Below are 19,756 nucleotides of genomic sequence, written 5' to 3' on the forward strand. Positions count from 1 at the left end.
GATTTGTACATACTTCATGTTAGCTAATTTACATGCCCACCTTTCCTGATGTTTCAGTTTTCTTTTTTCTTTTTTTTTGAGATGGAGTCTTGCTGTGTCACCAGGCTGGAGTGCAGTGGTGTGATCTCGGCTCACTGCAACCTCTGCCTCCCAGGTTCAAGCGATTCTCCTGTCTCAGTCTCCCAAGTAGCTGGGACTACAGGTGGGCGCCACCACGCCCAGCTAATTTTTGTATTTTTGTAGAAACAGGGTTTCACCATGTTGGCCAGGATGATCTGGATCTCTTGACCTCGTTATCCACCCACCTCAGCCTCCCAAAGTGCTGGGATTACAGGCGTGAGTCACTGCACCTGGCCCAGTTTTCTTTTTAAAGGAAAGCTTACTGTGAAGGGGTTGGTAATACCTTACCATTGTATATACTTTATTTCTATATTTCTCCTGCCTTACTCTTTGTTACACACTCCTGTCTTCTTTGACTAAAACCATTATTCAATCAGAACGTAGTTATGGTGAGTTCACTATTAAGTTTTATCTTTTGCTTTTGATTAACTAGATACCTGTGGAAGGGGGACAGGAGCAGCAGACAGATTCCACCAAAGGGCGATGCCTGAGGAGAACTGTCAGTGTCCCTTCCGAGGGTCAGTTTCCCGAGTACCCACCAGAGGGCGCCACTAAACTGGGTAAGCTACTATGAAAAGGAAATAAATTCCTAGCTTTTATCCCATAATTTATGGACTTGTTACTGAGTAAAACAGAACATCCTGCATTTCCTGTTAAGTAAGTGCTTTGAAATCAATGGCACGTTAAGCGAGAGTTAGAGGTCATTAGAGAGTTCTGTTCTTTATAACCAACTGACAGCAAAGTTATTTTAAAGAGAAAGACTTTATGTGAGCACTAGTAAGGTTGCTGTTTAGTCCTAGGCAGATGGGATAATGTGTTGCTTCTGGGTTTATTGCTCAGCTGTAGATTTTGAGAGAGTATTTGGTGATCTTGTTGAAGCACTGAGGTTCATAAGGGAGCAGTATGTGTTGGAACTTAGTATTAAGTGGTTTAGATGTGTCTTGTTCAGGTAGCTACTGGTGTTGTCTTATATGATGTAATATTAGATCAGGCTAATTTAGCTAAGTTAATCTTGCATGTCTCATAAAAGTCATATGCTGGACTATGGTTGGAGTGGGTGACAAAAGGGAGAAATCCTACTTCCATTTTTCCAGTAAGGTTACTAAAGAAACCTTACTTCCATTGTTATATACTAAAGGAGTTAATGTCAATATCAAAGCAGCTAGCTCTTCTCCCATTCCCTACCAAATGTATTCTGTTAAATGTTTTCATTTTTAATAATGGATATTTAAATAATCAGACTGGTCAGGTAATTTTAAAAGAACATAATTAAGATTAAATAGAAAAATGAAGCAATTTGAAAAGTAGGAATTGTTTTGGTGCTTTATATTGTTGTGTTATTATTTGCTTAGTGAACCATAGACTTTTGACATTTGATAAGTAGATGAAATCATTTATTGTCTCTATGGTGATCAGTATGGATAATTCTGTAATTTTGTTTGTGTTTTCTAAAATCATGGTTTGGTTTGGGATTTTGGAGGGGGTTGCCTTTTTCTTCATTTCTAAGTGGAACCCAGAGCTTTTGGCTGGAATTTGAATCCTTTTGGGCAGAATTTGAATCTTTTATTTTTCTTTTTATTGTGTAATAGTTGTTGCTTTCCTAGAAATTAGTTGAGTTAGCAAGTACTTTTTTCCAAGGAGCCACCTTGGAGAAGTCAGATTTTTCTCTCATCTTATTTCCACTATACTTCTTTAACATGTGTTGAAACCAGTTTAGGTGTGGGCCTAAATTCTACTAAAAACCTGTCTGGGTGTAACCATTTTATAGCCTATTTATATTTCACATCCAAGTTCTATGTAAATTGAACTGGCTTAGAGTCACCTTCTTTCAGTTCCTTTGCTTTCATTATTTGCAATGATATGTTGACTGTTGTCTCTCTTTTTTTTTTTCTGAGACAGAGACTTGCTGTGTTGCCCAGGCTGGAGTGCAATGGCGTGATCTTGGCTCACTGCAGCCTCCACCTACTTGGTTCAAGCAATTCTCCTGCCTCAGCCTCCCAAGTAGCTGGGATTACAGGCATGCACCACCATGCCCGGCTAATTTTTGTATTTTTAATAGAGACAGGGTTTCACCATGTTGGCCAGGCTGGTCTCAAACTCCCGACCACTGATGATCTGCCCTCCTCAGCCTCCCAAAGTGCTAGGAATAAAGCATGAACCACTGCGCCCAGCCTGACTATTGTCTTTACCAATTTTCTAGGAACCTTTCGCTCTTCAAGTTTTGACCCATAAAAGTCAATAGATTTTGAGGAAGTACAACTATAGTCTCAAGAATTATTGCAGTGTTATAGAAGAGAGAACTATATAGGAAATTGTTAAATATCTACAGTGTTCGAGGTACTGGCCCCAAAAACAAACTAAAGGTGACAAAAGTGTCTGGTCTAGAGCCAGTCCTTATCTTTTGTGCTTAACAAGAAGTCCAGTAGCCATTCTGACTCATGGACAGTCCATGAGCAAATGTCCTAAATTTGCACTAAAAGCTATCCTCGTAAATATTATAGGGAAAAACACTACTTCTAGAGCCATTCTTCCTTACATGCCAGTCTAATCTTGAATTAGATAATTGTTCTGTTTTTTTATTGTTATCTCCAAGTGATTTGTCTTTAGCCAAAATTTCTGCTGTCAGGTATTTCATTGAATAATTGCTGTATATGTAACATTCTATGCCAGTCGCTAAGAGTGAAAAGAAGTATAAGATTTCTGCTCTTAGAACATTTTTTTTATGTAGTTAGCAAGATAGGATGAATATACATAGAAACTAAAATATAAGTTAGTGTACAAAAATTGATTGTCTATATACTAGCAATAAACAGGAAACAAAAAAAATTAAATATCCTGTTTAATATAGCATCATGATAACAAATTCCTAGGGGAAAAGATCTAATAACAGATGTGAAAGACTTCTACATAGAGAACTTTAAAACATAAAAGAAAAAAAGATTTAAATAAACAAATGGAGGGCTAAATACCATGATGATGGTTTAGAAGACTTAATACAATGTCAGTTCTCTTTAAGATCAAAATTTCAATGAATTTCAAAATTTCTGTCCCCATCCTTACCACCACATACACGTATACAAATTGGCAAGTTGATTCTAAAATTCATCTCGAAATGCCATAGACCAAGTATAGCCACAGCAGAAGAAAACAAGGTGAGAAGACTTAATTACTAGTATTAAGATCTGTTTAAAAAGTATAATAGGCCGGGCGCAGTGGTTCACGCCTATAATCCCAGCACTTTGGGAGGCCAAGGTGGGAAGATCACGAGGTCAGGAGTTCAAGACCAGCCTGGTCAATATGGTGAAACCCTGTCTCGAGTGTGGTGGCATGTGCCTGTAGTCCCAGTTACTCAGGAGGCTGAGGCAGGAGAATCGCTTGAACCCAGGAGGTGGAGGTTGCAGTGAGCCAAGATTGAGCCACTGCACTCCAGCCTGGGAGACAGAGCGACACTCCATCTCAAAAAAAAACAAAGTATAATAGTGTGTTGGTGGAAGAATAAACAAATAGAATAGTGAAATAGAATAGAGAGTCTTGAAGTTATCCCATATATAAGGACATTTGGTGTGACATTTCCCTCACGGCAGTGAGAGAAAAGACAGTCTTTTTAGTCATTGGTGCTGGCTCAATAACATATCTTTTTGGAGTGGGGTGGGAATGAGGAGGAATTGACCTATAAGATAGTGACCTTATAACCATGCACAATATCAATTCCAAGATCTGAACAAGAGAGATAATACAATAAAACTTCTAGAAATAGTGTAGGATATTTTCATGATCTTGGATAAAGAAAGATTTCTTAAGTCAGGAGTGTCCAATCTTTTCGCTTTCCTGGGCCACATCAGAAGAAGAATTGTCTTGGACCACACCCAAAATGCACTAACACTAACGACAGCTGATGAGCTTAAAAAAAAAAAAGGTTCATGCAAAAATCTCATAATGTTTTAAGAAAGTTTAAGAATTTGTGTTGGGCTGCATTCAGAACCATCCTGGGCTGCATGCAGCCCATGGACCGTGGGTTGGACAAGTTTGTCTTAAACAATACAAAAAACACAAATTGTAATGGAAATAATTGATACATTGGACTATATTAAGATTAAGAATTCTGTCAATCAGTACATCATTAAGAGAATGAAAAGGCAAACCACAGAGTAGAATAATATATTTGCAACACCTATAATGAACAAAGGGCTTTTATCTAGTATATATAAATGCTTCCTCGTAGAAAATGAGCAAGAGGCTTGAACAGATATTTTAACGAAGAGTTCACTGAGGAACAGACACAAATTAGTACATCCTGTCTGATTCCGTTTATATCAAGTTCCAAAACCGTTAAAACTAATCTATGGTGTTAGTTATTAGGATGGTGGTTACTTTTGGGGAGGAGGCATGAATAGTGATTGGGAGAAATATAAAGGTGGATTCTGGAGTGCCAGTGGTGTTCTGTTTGTTGACTTGGGTAGGAATTACACAGGTGTGTTCACTTTGTGATAATTCATTGAGCATATGTGTGTTATACTTAAAGAAAATTTTAAAAAGACAAAGAAAAACAAGCTAAATTGTACTGTCACATAAGTGGTCTATACTATTACAAAGTACACAGTAGGGAGGATTAAGAACTATATAGCCAACTCTGTTTTATGCTACCAAAAGGGCCACTAGGATGAGGACTAACGAAAATCATTAGGCCAGGTGTGATGGCTCACACCTATAATCCCAGCACTTTGGGAGGCTGAAGCTGGAGGGTCACTTATGTCTAGGAGTATGAGACCAGCCTAGACAACATAGTGAGACCCTTATCTCTACAAAATAAAAAAATTAGCCAGGCATGGTGGCACACATCTGTAGTCTCAGCTACTCTGAAGGCTAAAGTGGGAGGATCTCTTGAGCCTGGGAGGTTGAGGCTACCGTGAGCTGAGATCACACCACTGCACTCTAGCTTAGGCGACAGAGTGAGACCTTGTCTCAAAAACAAAACAAAACAAAAACCACACATTAGATTAAGTGACATTAGGGTTCTTGGTAAGTTTAGGAACTGTAGTTTTAATGGTATGTGGCAGCAGAAGCCCTACTGAAATGAGTTGAGAAGATAGTGTGATAAGGAAATCAAAACAGCAAATGGAGACAATTCTTCTTAAACGTTTGCCTGTGGAAAAACTGAAAGCGTTTCCTCTTAGATCTGGAACACAACAAGGTTGTGCACTTTTACCACTCTTATTTGTTATAGTACTGGAAGTCCTAGCTAGAGCAGTCAGACAAGAGAAGGAAATAAAGGGCATCCAAATTAGAAAGGAAGAAGCCAACTTATTCTTGTTTGCAGATGATACGATCTTATATTTGGAGAAACCTAAAGACTCCACTAAAAAACTGTTAGGACTGATAAACAAATTCAGTAAAGTTACAGGATACCAAATCAGCATACAAAAATCAGTGGCATTTCTGTATGTTAACAGTGAACAATCTGAAAAAAAGAAATTTAAAAAGTAATCCCATTTACAAGAGCCACAAGTAAAATGAAGTACCTAGGAATTAACCAAAGAAGTGAGTATCGCTACAATGAAAACTATAAAATACTGATGAAAGAAATTGAAGAGGATGGCAACAAATGGAAAGATATTTCATGTTCATGGGTTGGAAGAATCAATATTGTTATAATGTCCATACTGCACAAAGCAGTCGACAAATCCAGTGCAATTCCTATCAAAATACCAATGACATTCTTCACAGAAATAGAAAAAACAATACTAAAATTTATATGGAATCACAAAAGACCCTGAATAGCCAAAGTCATTCTGAGCAAAAGGAACAAAACTAGAGGAATCACATTACCTGAGTTCAAATTACAGTACAGAGGTATAGTAACCAAAATAGCACGGCACAGGCAGAAAAACAGACACACAGACCAGTGGAACAGAGAATCCAGAAACAAATCCACACACCTACAGTGAACTCAGAATTTGCTTAATGGATTGGATGTGGAAAGTGAGAAATAGAATATTCAAGAATGTTGGCTAGAACAGCTACAGGAATGAAGTTACTATTGTTTAAAGTGGGAAGACTGGGAGAAACTAGTTTGAAAGTGTGATTGACCAGCAGCTCAATTTTTGCACACGTTAAGTTTGAGGGTATTATTAGACCCCCAAGTCGAAATTTGTTGGATATATGAATTTGGAAATAAAGGGGAAGGTACAGACTACAGATACAAATTGCAAGCCTTTGGCAAATAGATGATATTTAAAACCCTGAGATTTAATGACATTCCTATTAGAATGTATGACAGAAGAAATGCAAAGACTAAGCCCTGGGACAACATTTAGAGGTTAGGAAGATGAAGTAGCACTAGCAAAGGAAGAACTAAAGAGGAAAGATGAAAATCCAGAATTTTGTTTCCAAATAAGCAAATTGAGACAAATGTGTATGGGGAAGAAGAAGGGAGTGCTTAAGCACAGAATTTACTTCTTATTGACAAGAGTTCTCCGACTGTTGCATTCAGCAGTTTACAGTTACCAAGGATACTAAATTTGACATAGATTTTGATTCATCAAATTTTTTTCATTGTTCAATTCCCACCTTTGAGTGAGAATATGCGGTGTTTGGTTTTTTGTTCTTGCGATAGTTTACTGAGAATGATGATTTCCAATTTCATCCATGTCCCTACAAAGGACATGAACTTATCATTTTTTATGGCTGCATAGTATTCCATGGTGTATATGTGCCACATTTTCTTAATCCAGTCTATCATTGTTGGACATTTGGGTTGGTTCCAAGTCTTTGCTATTGTGAATAGTGCCGCAATAAACATATGTATGCATGTGTCTTTATAGCAGCATGATTTATAGTCCTTTGGGTATATACCCAGTAATGGGATGGCTGGGTCAAATGGTAATTCTAGTTCTAGATCCCTGAGGAATAGCCACACTGACTTCCACAATGGTTGAACTAGTTTACAGTCCCACCAATAGTGTAAAAGTGTTCCTATTTCTCCACATCCTCTCCAGCACCTGTTGTTTCCTGACTTTTTAATGATTGCCATTCTAACTGGTGTGAGATGGTATCTCATTGTGGTTTTGATTTGCATTTCTCTGATGGCCAGTGATGATGAGCATTTTTTCATGTGTTTTTTGGCTGCGTAAGTGTCTTCTTTTGAGAAGTGTCTGTTCATGTCCTTCACCCACTTTTTGATGGGGTTGTTTGTTTTCTTCTTGTAAATTTGTTTGAGTTCATTGTAGATTCTGGATATTAGCCCTTTGTCAGATGAACAAATCACATGGACACAGGAAGGGGAACATCACACTCTGGGGACTGTTGTGGGGTGGGGGGAGGGGGGAGGGATAGCATTGGGAGATATACCTAATGCTAGATGATAAGTTAGTGGGTGCAGTGCAGCAGCATGGCACATGTATACATATGTAACTAACCTGCACAATGTGCACATGTACCCTAAAACTTAAAGTATAATAATAAAAGAAAAAAAAAAAGCACGAAAAAGATGTTCTAAATAAATTGCGAAGAAGACAAGTTATATAACAGCATGTGCAGTCTAATCATTATTTCATTTTTTAAAAAAAGGTACAGTATGCACACAGAATAAAGATTGCTTATACACATCAACGTATTATGAGCATTATCTTTATTTTGCTTGTATGTTCTAGATTTTCTTAAGCAATGTGCATTTCTTTCATACTAAAAATATTTTTAAATAAAATATACTAATTACTTTTAAAAAAAAAATTTTTTTCCACTGAAAATGAGATGTTTTCTTAAGGCATGTGTGCATCATGTCTAAAGTACCCACTTCCAGATTTAGAAAACCTAGGAAAAAACTATTTTCCCCTAGTAACAGTATCCAGATTTTAATTTATTCATCAAAAGACTATCTAGATTCAAACCATGCAAAGCATGACTTGCTGAATTTTCAAGAGGAGGTAGTAGGGTTCTTTGTATACAAATAATACTGGAAGGCATATTAGTTGGCCGTGTGAACTAAAATTAGTAAATAGTCATTTTCAATGTCAATGTAACCTACAAATTCAACTTCTTTTAAAAAAACCAAAGCTATCAAATAGCTTGCAAGAACTCTGAGAAGGGGGAAAAGTGAAAGCTGAAGAGTGGACATTTTTATGAACTGTGCATTTATGGAAGAAAATTTATCTCTGTTATTGCATATTGCTTACTGCTTGGCTGGTGGATAGCACAAGGTGAATTTGGAGCTGTCTCCAATCTTTTTGTTGTATTTCTTTGACATTCCGGTAAAGTTCATGTTTTCATGCCCAAATGGGCAAACTACAGTATGAGCCTGAAATGAGCAAGGATAGTTGTTTGCATGTAACATCATAAACATGTTCATAAAGCTGGTTTAATTAGAAAATGCCAAACATTCGTAAATCCGAGGCTTTCTCAGTCCTCAAACAGAAAGTTCAGATTGAACTGGTAAATTCAAATCCAAACATTTACTAACTCAAGGCTGCAGAGATCTCATGCCTCTATTTTAATATATTATAATAAAATATTAAAGTTATCCCGTCATCTTACTTACAGAATGTCTGGATTTTTATAAAAACTGTGCCTGTGATAGTAAATTTGTGTTATTATCCTAGAGTCCTCAAAAACCTATAAACATTTGGTAAATACATTTAAAATTATAATTTAACATAGTATGCCTCCGATATATTCTAGCAAGCCTTAGAGAAGAGTGTATCAAAAGTCTTTTAGAGTCAAAGCTAGCTATCTAAAATTTTTATGTTTGTATACATGAAGACCAAAAAAGGAAATTAAGTTGGAAAACTCTGAGGAAAAGCCAGCCTTTTACTTTATACCATCTTTTCCTAAGTTTATTGACCTCTGAGTGACCAAAAACTTGAGAAAACTTTGAAGAAAATTAATATTAAAGTAGAATATGTTCTCTAGGGTATTTATAAAAATATTATAAAGGATAAAGCTTTTGATCAGAATTAATAAAAGATATTGATTATTCAAACATTAGCTTTTTTTTTTTTTTTTTTGGAGGCAGGGTCTCACTCTGTTGCCCAGGCTAGATTACAGTGGTGTGGTGTAATCATGACTCACTGCAGCCTCAACTTCCTAGGCTCAACTGATTCTCCCACCTCCACCTGCCAAGCAACTGATACTACAGGCACTCACCACCATGCCTGGCTATTTTTTTTTTTAATTTATTCTAGAGACAGGGTGTCACTATGTTGCTCATGCTGGGAAACCTTGGTTTAAACCCTGGCCCTTTCTGTTAGATTAAATTAGCCTCAGTTCTAACTTTATTTGTAAATTAGTGAGGACTCTGTTTTTATTCCCAAGACATTGTTAGAAATATCTAGATAATTTATGCAATAATTTCAAGATGCTAGAATCTTCTGTAGAACTACTGGATGGTAATAGCATTGGTAGACAGGATATGTGCATAATGAAGATTTAATATTATAAGAGATATATTCTTTCCTTTATAAAATAGAGTAAAAATGCTGATAAATAATGTCTGTGTATGGTAGTACTCAATATTTAGATTGGCTATTAAATTAATGTGTGTATTTACTTAACCAACAGAAGCAGACCTTGAACTTTATGGTGATATATTAATACATATAAAGATCAAAATCTTTATAAAAAATAATATCCTGGTATTTCTAGCTCTGAAAGTTGGAGCTCAGTGGATAATGGCAGCCACTGATTTTCTTTGAAATTTCCTTAAAATGTCATGTCTTATTCCTCTCCTGTAAAATAAGATTATTTGACTACTGTCTATAAGAAAGCTCACATTAAAACAGCTGCATAATATCTAGGCATTATATTTGTATTCCACATTAATAGATGGCAGTGATATGCAAGTAATTTGAGGAGAACTCAGATAAGCTCAAGAATTATCAAAATCATTATGAATAATTAAGGTAGAAAACCCTGGAAAAATCTTCCTCAAGGTTTTGGTTGAGTAGTTTTGGGTTTTCTTAAAAACCATGAGTGACTATATATTTATTCTTTGAAATAAGATTTGGAAGGATGTATGTGGTAATACTGATGGTAATATTCTGGAAGAATTGGCTTGATTATGGGATAAAATAGCCATATACAGTCAGTTCTGTTATAATATGACATACAGAGTCCTAAAAATCACTACACTATGCAAGTGGAGACAAAGTGGTTAGGGGCACTACTCTCAAAAACATGGTCAGTAACACACAAAAAAGTGATAAAACTAGGTTTCAAATACTATAATGAATATAGCACTTTACCTTGAAAAAATCCTAAAGTTTCCTTGTGGTAGAGGGCATCAGACTAATTTGTAAGTGTATTTTGAATTGATAGAAGGAGGGTTATTTAAAAGCGGATAGAATGTTGTTACAACAGGCATGTTGGGTGTGGCTAATAACACTCATGCAGTGAACTGAGGCAGCTGGTAGATGTTTGAGGTGTATCTGAATATGAACATCTTGTATATTCAACATGGCTTGGTGAGTAGAGTTTCCTTTGTTCATTTAGTGTTTATTACAGATGAAATTTGTAAATTAGTGAGGACTCTGTTTTTATTCCCAAGACATTGTTAGAAATATCTAGATAATTTGTGAAATATTTTCAAGATGCTAGAATCTTCTATAAAACTACTGGATGATAATAGCATTGATAGACAGGATATGTGAGTAGTGAAGGTTGTGCATAAGGAAACACAGATTTTGTGTTATGTGCAAATTGTTACCTAAAATAAATCAATTGCAGTAGAACATTAAAGTTTTCAAAGCAAATATTATAACAGAACTGACCTTACTACCAATCTGATATAGTTAGATTTGCCCATTAGAAAGAAGTTTGCATTATTAGCCAATTAAATGCAAAAACTTCATTTACATTTGAACATTTTCCTGATTTTCTTTTGGAAGTAGTTAATTGGGTCTCAAAACTGACATGAATAAAATAAAAAAAAACTAGTACTTAAGTTCTCAAGCTAACCTACTAAAATCAATTTTACTGTTTGATTTTGTTACTTTTGTTACTCTTATGAGCTAGATTTTGATTAGCAGTAACATTTTTTTTCGATTGGGACATCAGTTCTCAATTCTAAGTTGAGGTGCGAGACCACAATTCTGCTGTAATTTGAAGTTTGGATTCCTAATTTGTTCTTTTATCTTCCATATTTTAGCACAGTGGAGATTTGTTTACTTCTGTGAAGGTGGCTCCAAGGCAGTGCTGCCACTTATGGTTGCTCAAACTGTTACCCAATTACCTGTCACTTGTTATCGCTGATTTGTAGCTGTTTCATAAAATTTCCAGTAGATGGCAGTAGAGTTTCTTCAATAAAGGACTCCCTTTCTAATTTGTGGAAGTCATTTGTATAGGCTATTGTCATGGTTACTGTTCCCAGTTTGTACAGTCAAGTTCTGTGGAAATGGGTGCCCAAGAAGACCAGAGTAGAGTACTCCAAAATGTGATACCCACACTAGAGGCTCCTCTTAATCAGCCCTAAGGCCAAGTTCTTAGGAAACCACTGTGGTGGTTGGAGAATCAGGTGGGAAGTAGGAATGATTTTTAGATTCAGCCTGGACATCTGGAGGAGATGAATGGCAGATTGAACACAAGCATCTAATTATACTCCTCCCAGAAACTCCACCAAACCTACTAAAGGTGTTTTATTTTAAAGACATGATCCATCAAGGATATGGAGAACGAGAAAGAAGAAAACAGCCATACACACACACAAACACACACACACACACACACACACACACACACACATTGAAAGCTGAAAAGCAAATAGAGTGTGGCAAATGACATAGCTTACTTAAGAAAGCCAAATCTTAACTTGGCTATGAAGAAGGCTAAAAATGAAGCTGACCTTTACCACAGAATCTTTAAATAGCTCAGGAATTGAGCCAGACATATGTGGTAGCAGATCCCCAGGTCTCCTCCTCTTCCCCATTCCACTGAACAACTGTTCTTCCTACCTATACCTCCACCTTAGTATAAGACTCCAAGTATACTCTTTGGAGGGAAAAAAAAAAGCCCAAGTATCTTTGGATTGGGAGATACTAGGCAAAATTGAGAACAGGGCATTTTACCACATATGAGGGAATTAGGTGAATATGTGCACGCTGAATGATGGGACTCCTCCACCTTTCTTCTCTCACTTGCCTTTACCCTACAGGCAGGAGATTAGTAGAATACCCCTTGGTGTATTTAGCCCAAGAAGAAAGATCTAAGAATACCAACTTTCCCAAGATTAGTGGACATCTGAAGAAAAGCCTGAAAGAGAGAGACTAAAACATACAAAAAAAGAAGAAGAAGAAAAGAAAAAGAAAAAAGGGAAAAAACAACTTGGAGGTAGAGACTAGGCAGGGAACAGAAAACTTTAAAAAAATGATTGATATCCTCAGAAAGATAGGATGTTACATACATGAAACAAGAACAGAATGTTTTACAAAGTTGAGCTTTTGTCTACTAAAAAATTAGAATATAAAACTCAATATAAGGGTTGGAAAATGGAATTGAGAAAATAGAAAGTGGAGAGAAAAAAAAGATAAAATAATGAGAGGACCAGTCTAGGAAGTTGAATATCAAAACAACAATTCCAGAAAAAGGGAAAGAAAGGGAGCAAAACCCTAGCAAAATAATTTCAGGAAATTTCCCACCACTGAAAGATATGTGTTTCCAGATTGAAAGGGCTTACTGAGTTCCCATGACAAGTCACATTTCATGAAATTCTAAATTGTCTCTAGTGACAAGAGACAGTCTTACAAACCTGCAAAAAAAGGGAAATTGGAGTACATACAAAGGATCAGAAAGGCTGCGGACTTACAATAAGCAATATCAGAAGCTAGAGAACAATGAGGAATGCCCTCAAAATTCTGAAGGAAATTTTTTTCCAGTCCAGAATTGTATATTTAGCTGTAAACTATTAGTCAAATTTGAGAATAGCATAAAGACATTTTCAGACATGCAAGACTCAAAAAAGATTACCTCCTACACATCATTTTTCCTGAAGCTAATGAAAGATATGTTTTACTAAGAATGAGGACAGGAGATCTAGCACAGGGGAGAGAAAAAGGGAACTTTTAGTAGAATGCTAAAGACAGAACCAAGTTTAATAGCTCGGTACAAGATGTAGAATAAAGACAGCCAGTTCAGACTGGAGCAGCTGATAAGGCTGTAGCGAGACTTTCCAAGAACACAAAATTGATAAGTTAACTCAATCAGCGGAAACAATAGGAAGCGCATTTGTGGTTGAATTAACAATAAGCATATAGATATCTAAGCAAATGAATAATACAAGAGAACACTATAAGAGAAACAAAAAAGTAGCTCAGGACAAAGAGAACACTTCTATAGCACTTTTTATCATATTGGGCACTTTACATATATGAATTTTTTAATCCTTGTAAACCCAAGAGGTAGATAATGTTACAATGAATATTTTATGGATAAGGAAACTGAGGCATAGAGAGGTGAAGTAACTTGCCTAAATAGCTAGACAGCCATTAAGTGGCAAAGATAGGCTTTGAACCCTGGAAGTATGCCTTCAAGATCTATGCTCCTGACCACTATGCTACAGTCTACATAGGATTTACTCTGTGGCTGGAGTCTAAATAACGTACATAGTCATAATATTGTTTGCCTTTACCAAAATTATTATGTAACTATATAGGGAAGGTGAGAGAATAGGAGTATGTATGCACCTACTGGGATGGTGATGGAGGAGGAAGGATTCACATTCTCATCTTTCATAGTGGAAAGTCAATAGATAATGTCTAAAATAGAGAAATTTTAAAGTATCAACAAAGCAATATTATTCAATATTTGATGTTAACTACCAAAACAATTGGCTAAGAGAGGTAAAAGTGGTTGCTTCTGCAGAAGGAAATGTGTTAAAAGAGGAGGGCTGGGTATTGCTGTTTGTTTTAACAAGTTGTAGAACCAGTTGACTCTAAACTGTGTGCACATTTTTTTTTTTTCTGTTTTGAGACAGGGTCTCACTCTGTCACCCGGGCTGGAGTGCAGTGGCATGATCACAGCTCACTGCAGCCTCAAACTCCTGGGCTCAAGCAATCCTCCCACCTCAGCCTCCCAGGGAGCTGGAACTGCAGGTGCACACCACCACACCCAGCTAATTAAGGGCATTAATTCCTTAGCTTTTAGGGATTTAAATGGGAGGGCATATTACATTGATGACGACAGGTGGGTTTCACACTACTAAAATATACTGTTTTTAAAATTAGCTAAGTCTTTTCTCATTCTATAGTCACTTGTAGTAAGATATTAAGTTAGCCTTTAAAACAGCTTAGTTTTTCCTTATCTAAGGTAAGGAAGATAAATTGAATCTGACAAAACAAGACTAAAAACTTCTTGGCGTTTTCAGGTTAAATTATTATAATCTAATAGACAATAAAAACAACCTCTATTGGATGCTTCAGGAATGTTTTAAGAAGATATTTTCTTCTCTTTGTCTCTTTGTTAAATAAAAATTCAGCTGAAATAATGCTAAAGAACAAGTTTTCTGCAGACCATAAATGCTGTGCCTATGATTTAATGTATCATTTTGATTGTTTATATTTCTGCCGATGAATTCAAAACCCAGGGACCACGATAGTAAAATACATAAGAATTAATTCCACATAGGTCTCTTGTAGACTCACAGCAACCTTTGCTCACGTGAGAAGATCCAAAAGTGGAGTTTTTATACCTAGGTTAGGAATATTTTTACTGTGTCTCTTGCAGTGTCATATAAATAGAATTCAGAAAATGTCAGTAAGAAAAATTATCTGTATGTAAGTCGTTTTATTTTACAGTTTTCCAAGTAGTATTGGTGGTGAGCCTAGCAAATATTAGGCTAACAAAATAATTCTCTTGCAGCTTTTAAAGTACCGCAGCTTCCTACTTTAGATTACAGATTTGCCAGTGATCTGCATGAAAATGAAATAAATAAAACATGATCTACAGGGTTATTGGACAAGTGTTATGTTTCAAACTGTCATTTTATGAATTCAAACTACTTTCTAATGTTCTATTATTTGGCCTCATGGTAAGATTTTCTTTATCTCTTTTTCCCCCAAAATATTGGGGAAATTATTATGTTTACAATATTTTTTTTGACTGAGATTCAGTATTTTTAGTGTTTCTCTGTGAAGTAAAGCAAGCTTCTGTGCTTGTTCAATACTAGTTGTAACATCTTATTTGATTTGAAGTGGTAGGCATCACAGATACTTATAAAACTAAAAACAGCTTCCTCTCACTTTATTTATTTATTTATTTTTTATTATACTTTAAGTTTTAGGGTACATGTGCACATTGTGCAGGTTAGTTACATATGTATACATGTGCCATGCTGGTGCGCTGCACCCACTAACTCGTCATCTAGCATTAGGTATATCTCCCAATGCTATCCCTCCCCCCTCCCCCCACCCCACCACAGTCCCCAGAGTGTGATATTCCCCTTCCTGTGTCCATGTGATCTCATTGTTCAGTTCCCACCTGTGAGTGAGAATATGTGGTGTTTGGTTTTTTGATCTTGCGATAGTTTACTGAGAATGATGATTTCCAATTTCATCCATGTCCCTACAAAGGACATGAACTCATCATTTTTTATGGCTGCATAGTATTCCATGGTGTATATGTGCCACATTTTCTTAATCCAGTCTATCATTGTTGGACATTTGGGTTGGTTCCAAGTCTTTGCTATTGTGAATAATGCCGCAATAACCATACATGTGCATGTGTCTTTATAGCAGCATGATTTATAGTCATTTGGGTATATACCCAGTAATGGGATGGCTGGGTCAAATGGTATTTCTAGTTCTAGATCCCTGAGGAATCGCCACACTGACTTCCACAATGGTTGAACTAGTTTACAGTCCCACCAACAGTGTAAAACTGTTCCTATTTCTCCACATCCTCTCCAGCACCTGTCGTTTCCTGACTTTTTAATGATTGCCATTCTAACTGGTGTGAGATGGTATCTCATTGTGGTTTTGATTTGCATTTCTCTGATGGCCAGTGATGGTGAGCATTTTTTCATGTGTTTTTTGGCTGCATAAATGTCTTCTTTTGAGAAGTGTCTGTTCATGTCCTTCGCCCACTTTTTGATGGGGTTGTTTGTTTTTTTCTTGTAAATTTGTTTGAGTTCACTGTAGATTCTGGATATTAGCCCTTTGTCAGATGAGTAGGTTGCGAAAACTTTCTCCCATTTTGTAGGTTGCCTGTTCACTCTGATGGTAGTTTCTTTTGCTGTGCAGAAGCTCTTTAGTTTAATTAGATCCCATTTGTCAATTTTGTCTTTTGTTGCCATTGCTTTTGGTGTTTTGGACATGAAGTCCTTGCCCATGCCTATGTCCTGAATGGTGATGCCTAGGTTTTCTTCTAGGGTTTTTATGGTTTTAGGTCTAACGTTTAAATCTTTAATCCATCTTGAATTGATTTTTGTATAAGGTGTAAGGAAGGGATCCAGTTTCAGCTTCCTACATATGGCTAGCCAGTTTTCCCAGCACCATTTATTAAATAGGGAATCCTTTCCCCATTGCTTGTTTTTCTCAGGTTTGTCAAAGATCAGATAGCTGTAGGTATGCGGCGTTATTTCTGAGGGCTCTGTTCTGTTCCATTGATCTATATCTCTGTTTTGGTACCAGTACCATGCTGTTTTGGTTACTGTAGCCTTGTAGTATAGTTTGAAGTCAGGTAGTGTGATTCCTCCAGCTTTGTTCTTTTGGCTTAGGATTGACTTGGCAATGCGGGCTCTTTTTTGGTTCCATATGAACTTTAAAGTAGTTTTTTCCAATTCTGTGAAGAAAGTCATTGGTAGCTTGATGGGGATGGCATTGAATCTGTAAATTACCTTGGGCAGTATGGCCATTTTCACGATATTGATTCTTCCTACCCATGAGCATGGAATGTTCTTCCATTTGTTTGTATCCTCTTTTATTTCCTTGAGCAGTGGTTTGTAGTTCTCCTTGAAGAGGTGCTTCACATCCCTTGTAAGTTGGATTCCTAGGTATTTTATTCTCTTTGAAGCAATTGTGAATGGGAGTTCACTCATGATTTGGCTCTCTGTTTGTCTGTTGTTGGTGTATAAGAATGCTTGTGATTTTTGTACATTGATTTTGTATCCTGAGACTTTGCTGAAGTTGCTTATCAGCTTAAGGAGATTTTGGGCTGAGACGATGGGGTTTTCTAGATATACAATCATGTCATCTGCAAACAGGGACAATTTGACTTCCTCTTTTCCTAATTGAATACCCTTTATTTCCTTCTCCTGTCTAATTGCCCTGGCCAGAACTTCCAACACTATGTTGAATAGGAGTGGTGAGAGAGGGCATCCCTGTCTTGTGCCAGTTTTCAAAGGGAATGCTTCCAGTTTTTGCCCATTCAGTATGATATTGGCTGTGGGTTTGTCATAGATAGCTCTTATTATTTTGAAATACGTCCCATCAATACCTAATTTATTGGGAGTTTTTAGCATGAAGGGTTGTTGAATTTTGTCAAAGGCTTTTTCTGCATCTATTGAGATAATCATGTGGTTTTTGTCTTTGGCTCTGTTTATATGCTGGATTACATTTATTGATTTGCATATATTGAACCAGCCTTGCATCCCAGCGATGAAGCCCACTTGATCATGGTGGATAAGCTTTTTGATGTGCTGCTGGATTCGGTTTGCCAGTATTTTACTGAGGATTTTTGCATCAATGTTCATCAAGGATATTGGTCTAAAATTCTCTTTTTTGGTTGTGTCTCTGCCCGGCTTTGGTATCAGAATGATGCTGGCCTCATAAAATGAGTTAGGGAGGATTCTCTCTTTTTCTATTGATTGGAATAGTTTCAGAAGGAATGGTACCAGTTCCTCCTTGTACCTCTGGTAGAATTCGGCTGTGAATCCATCTGGTCCTGGACTCTTTTTGGTTGGTAAACTATTGATTATTGCCACAATTTCAGCTCCTGTTATTGGTCTATTCAGAGATTCAACTTCTTTCTGGTTTAGTCTTGGGAGAGTGTATGTGTCGAGGAATTTATCCATTTCTTCTAGATTTTCTAGTTTATTTGCGTAGAGGTGTTTGTAGTATTCTCTGATGGTAGTTTGTATTTCTGTGGGATCGGTGGTGATATCCCCTTTATCATTTCTTATTGTGTCTATTTGATTCTTCTCTCTTTTTTTCTTTATTAGTCTTGCTAGCGGTCTATCAATTTTGTTGATCCTTTCAAAAAACCAGCTCCTGGATTCATTGATTTTTTGAAGGGTTTTTTGTGTCTCTATTTCCTTCAGTTCTGCTCTGATTTTAGTTATTTCTTGCCCTCTGCTAGCTTTTGAATGTGTTTGCTCTGGCTTTTCTAGTTCTTTTAATTGTGATGTTAGGGTGTCAATTTTGGATCTTTCCTGCTTTCTCTTGTGGGCATTTATTGCTATAAATTTCCCTCTACACACTGCTTTGAATGCGTCCCAGAGATTCTGGTATGTTGTGTCTTTGTTCTCATTGGTTTCAAAGAACATCTTTATTTCTGCCTTCATTTCGTTATGTACCCAGTAGTCATTCAGGAGCAGGTTGTTCAGTTTCCATGTAGTTGAGCGGCTTTGAGTGGGATTCTTAGTCCTGAGTTCTAGTTGGATTGCACTGTGGTCTGAGAGACAGTTTGTTATAATTTCTGTTCTTTTACATTTGCTGAGGAGAGCTTTACTTCCAACTATGTGGTCAATTTTGGAATAGGTGTGGTGTGGTGCTGAAAAAAATGTATATTCTGTTGATTTGGGGTGGAGAGTTCTGTAGATGTCTATTAGGTCCGCTTGGTGCAGAGCTGAGTTCAATTCCTGGGTATCCTTGTTGACTTTCTGTCTCGTTGATCTGTCTAATGTTGACAGTGGGGTGTTAAAGTCTCCCATTATTAATGTGTGGGAGTCTAAATCTCTTTGTAAGTCACTCAGGACTTGCTTTATGAATCTGGGTGCTCCCGTATTGGGTGCATATATATTTAGGATAGTTAGCTCTTCTTGTTGAATTGATCCCTTTACCATTATGTAATGGCCTTCTTTGTCTCTTTTGATCTTTGTTGGTTTAAAGTCTGTTTTATCAGAGACTAGGATTGCAACCCCTGTCTTTTTTTGTTTTCCATTTGCTTGGTAGATCTTCCTCCATCCTTTTATTTTGAGCCTATGTGTGTCTCTGCACGTGAGATGGGTTTCCTGAATACAGCACACTGATGGATCTTGACTCTTTATCCAATTTGCCAGTCTGTGTCTTTTAATTGGAGCATTTAGTCCATTTATATTTAAAGTTAATATTGTTATGTGTGAATTTGATCCTGTCATTATGATGTTAGCTGGTGATTTTGCTCGTTAGTTGATGCAGTTTCTGCCTAGTCTCGATGGTCTTTACATTTTGGCATGATTTTGCAGCGGCTGGTACCGGTTGTTCCTTTCCATGTTTAGCACTTCCTTCAGGAGCTCTTTTAGGGCAGACCTGGTGGTGACAAAATCAGTCAGCATTTGCTTGTCTGTAAAGTATTTTGTTTCTCCTTCACTTATGAAGCTTAGTTTGGCTGGATATGAAATTCTGGGTTGAAAATTCTTTTCTTTAAGAATGTTGAATATTGGCCCCCACACTCTTCTGGCTTGTAGGATTTCTGCCGAGAGATCCGCTGTTAGTCTGATGGGCTTCCCTTTGAGGGT

General features: G+C 36.8%; 1 protein-coding gene across 9 annotated transcripts in view, besides 1 other annotated feature; it reads left to right on the forward strand.

The window, feature by feature from the left end:
• Positions 1–19,756, forward strand: part of RASAL2 (RAS protein activator like 2) — a 384,747-nt gene that overhangs the window by 205,335 nt on the left and 159,656 nt on the right. For all 9 annotated transcript variants that reach the window (NM_001437625.1, NM_001437626.1, NM_001437627.1 and 6 more), the window contains exon 3: positions 554–680. In NM_001437625.1, the coding sequence (NP_001424554.1) occupies positions 554–680 (127 nt within the window). The remainder of the gene's footprint in view (positions 1–553; positions 681–19,756) is intronic.
• Positions 11,276–11,570: a silencer, noted in NCBI's record as "tiled region #3505; HepG2 Repressive DNase matched - State 12:CtcfO". NCBI's record gives its function as "represses a minimal TATA promoter and a strong SV40 promoter by Sharpr-MPRA in HepG2 cells {active_cell/tissue: HepG2}" and the evidence as "EXISTENCE:reporter gene assay evidence [ECO:0000049][PMID:27701403]".

The sequence above is a fragment of the Homo sapiens genome, chromosome 1 (assembly GCF_000001405.40).
Source record: "Homo sapiens chromosome 1, GRCh38.p14 Primary Assembly".
Lineage (NCBI taxonomy): Eukaryota > Metazoa > Chordata > Mammalia > Primates > Hominidae > Homo > Homo sapiens.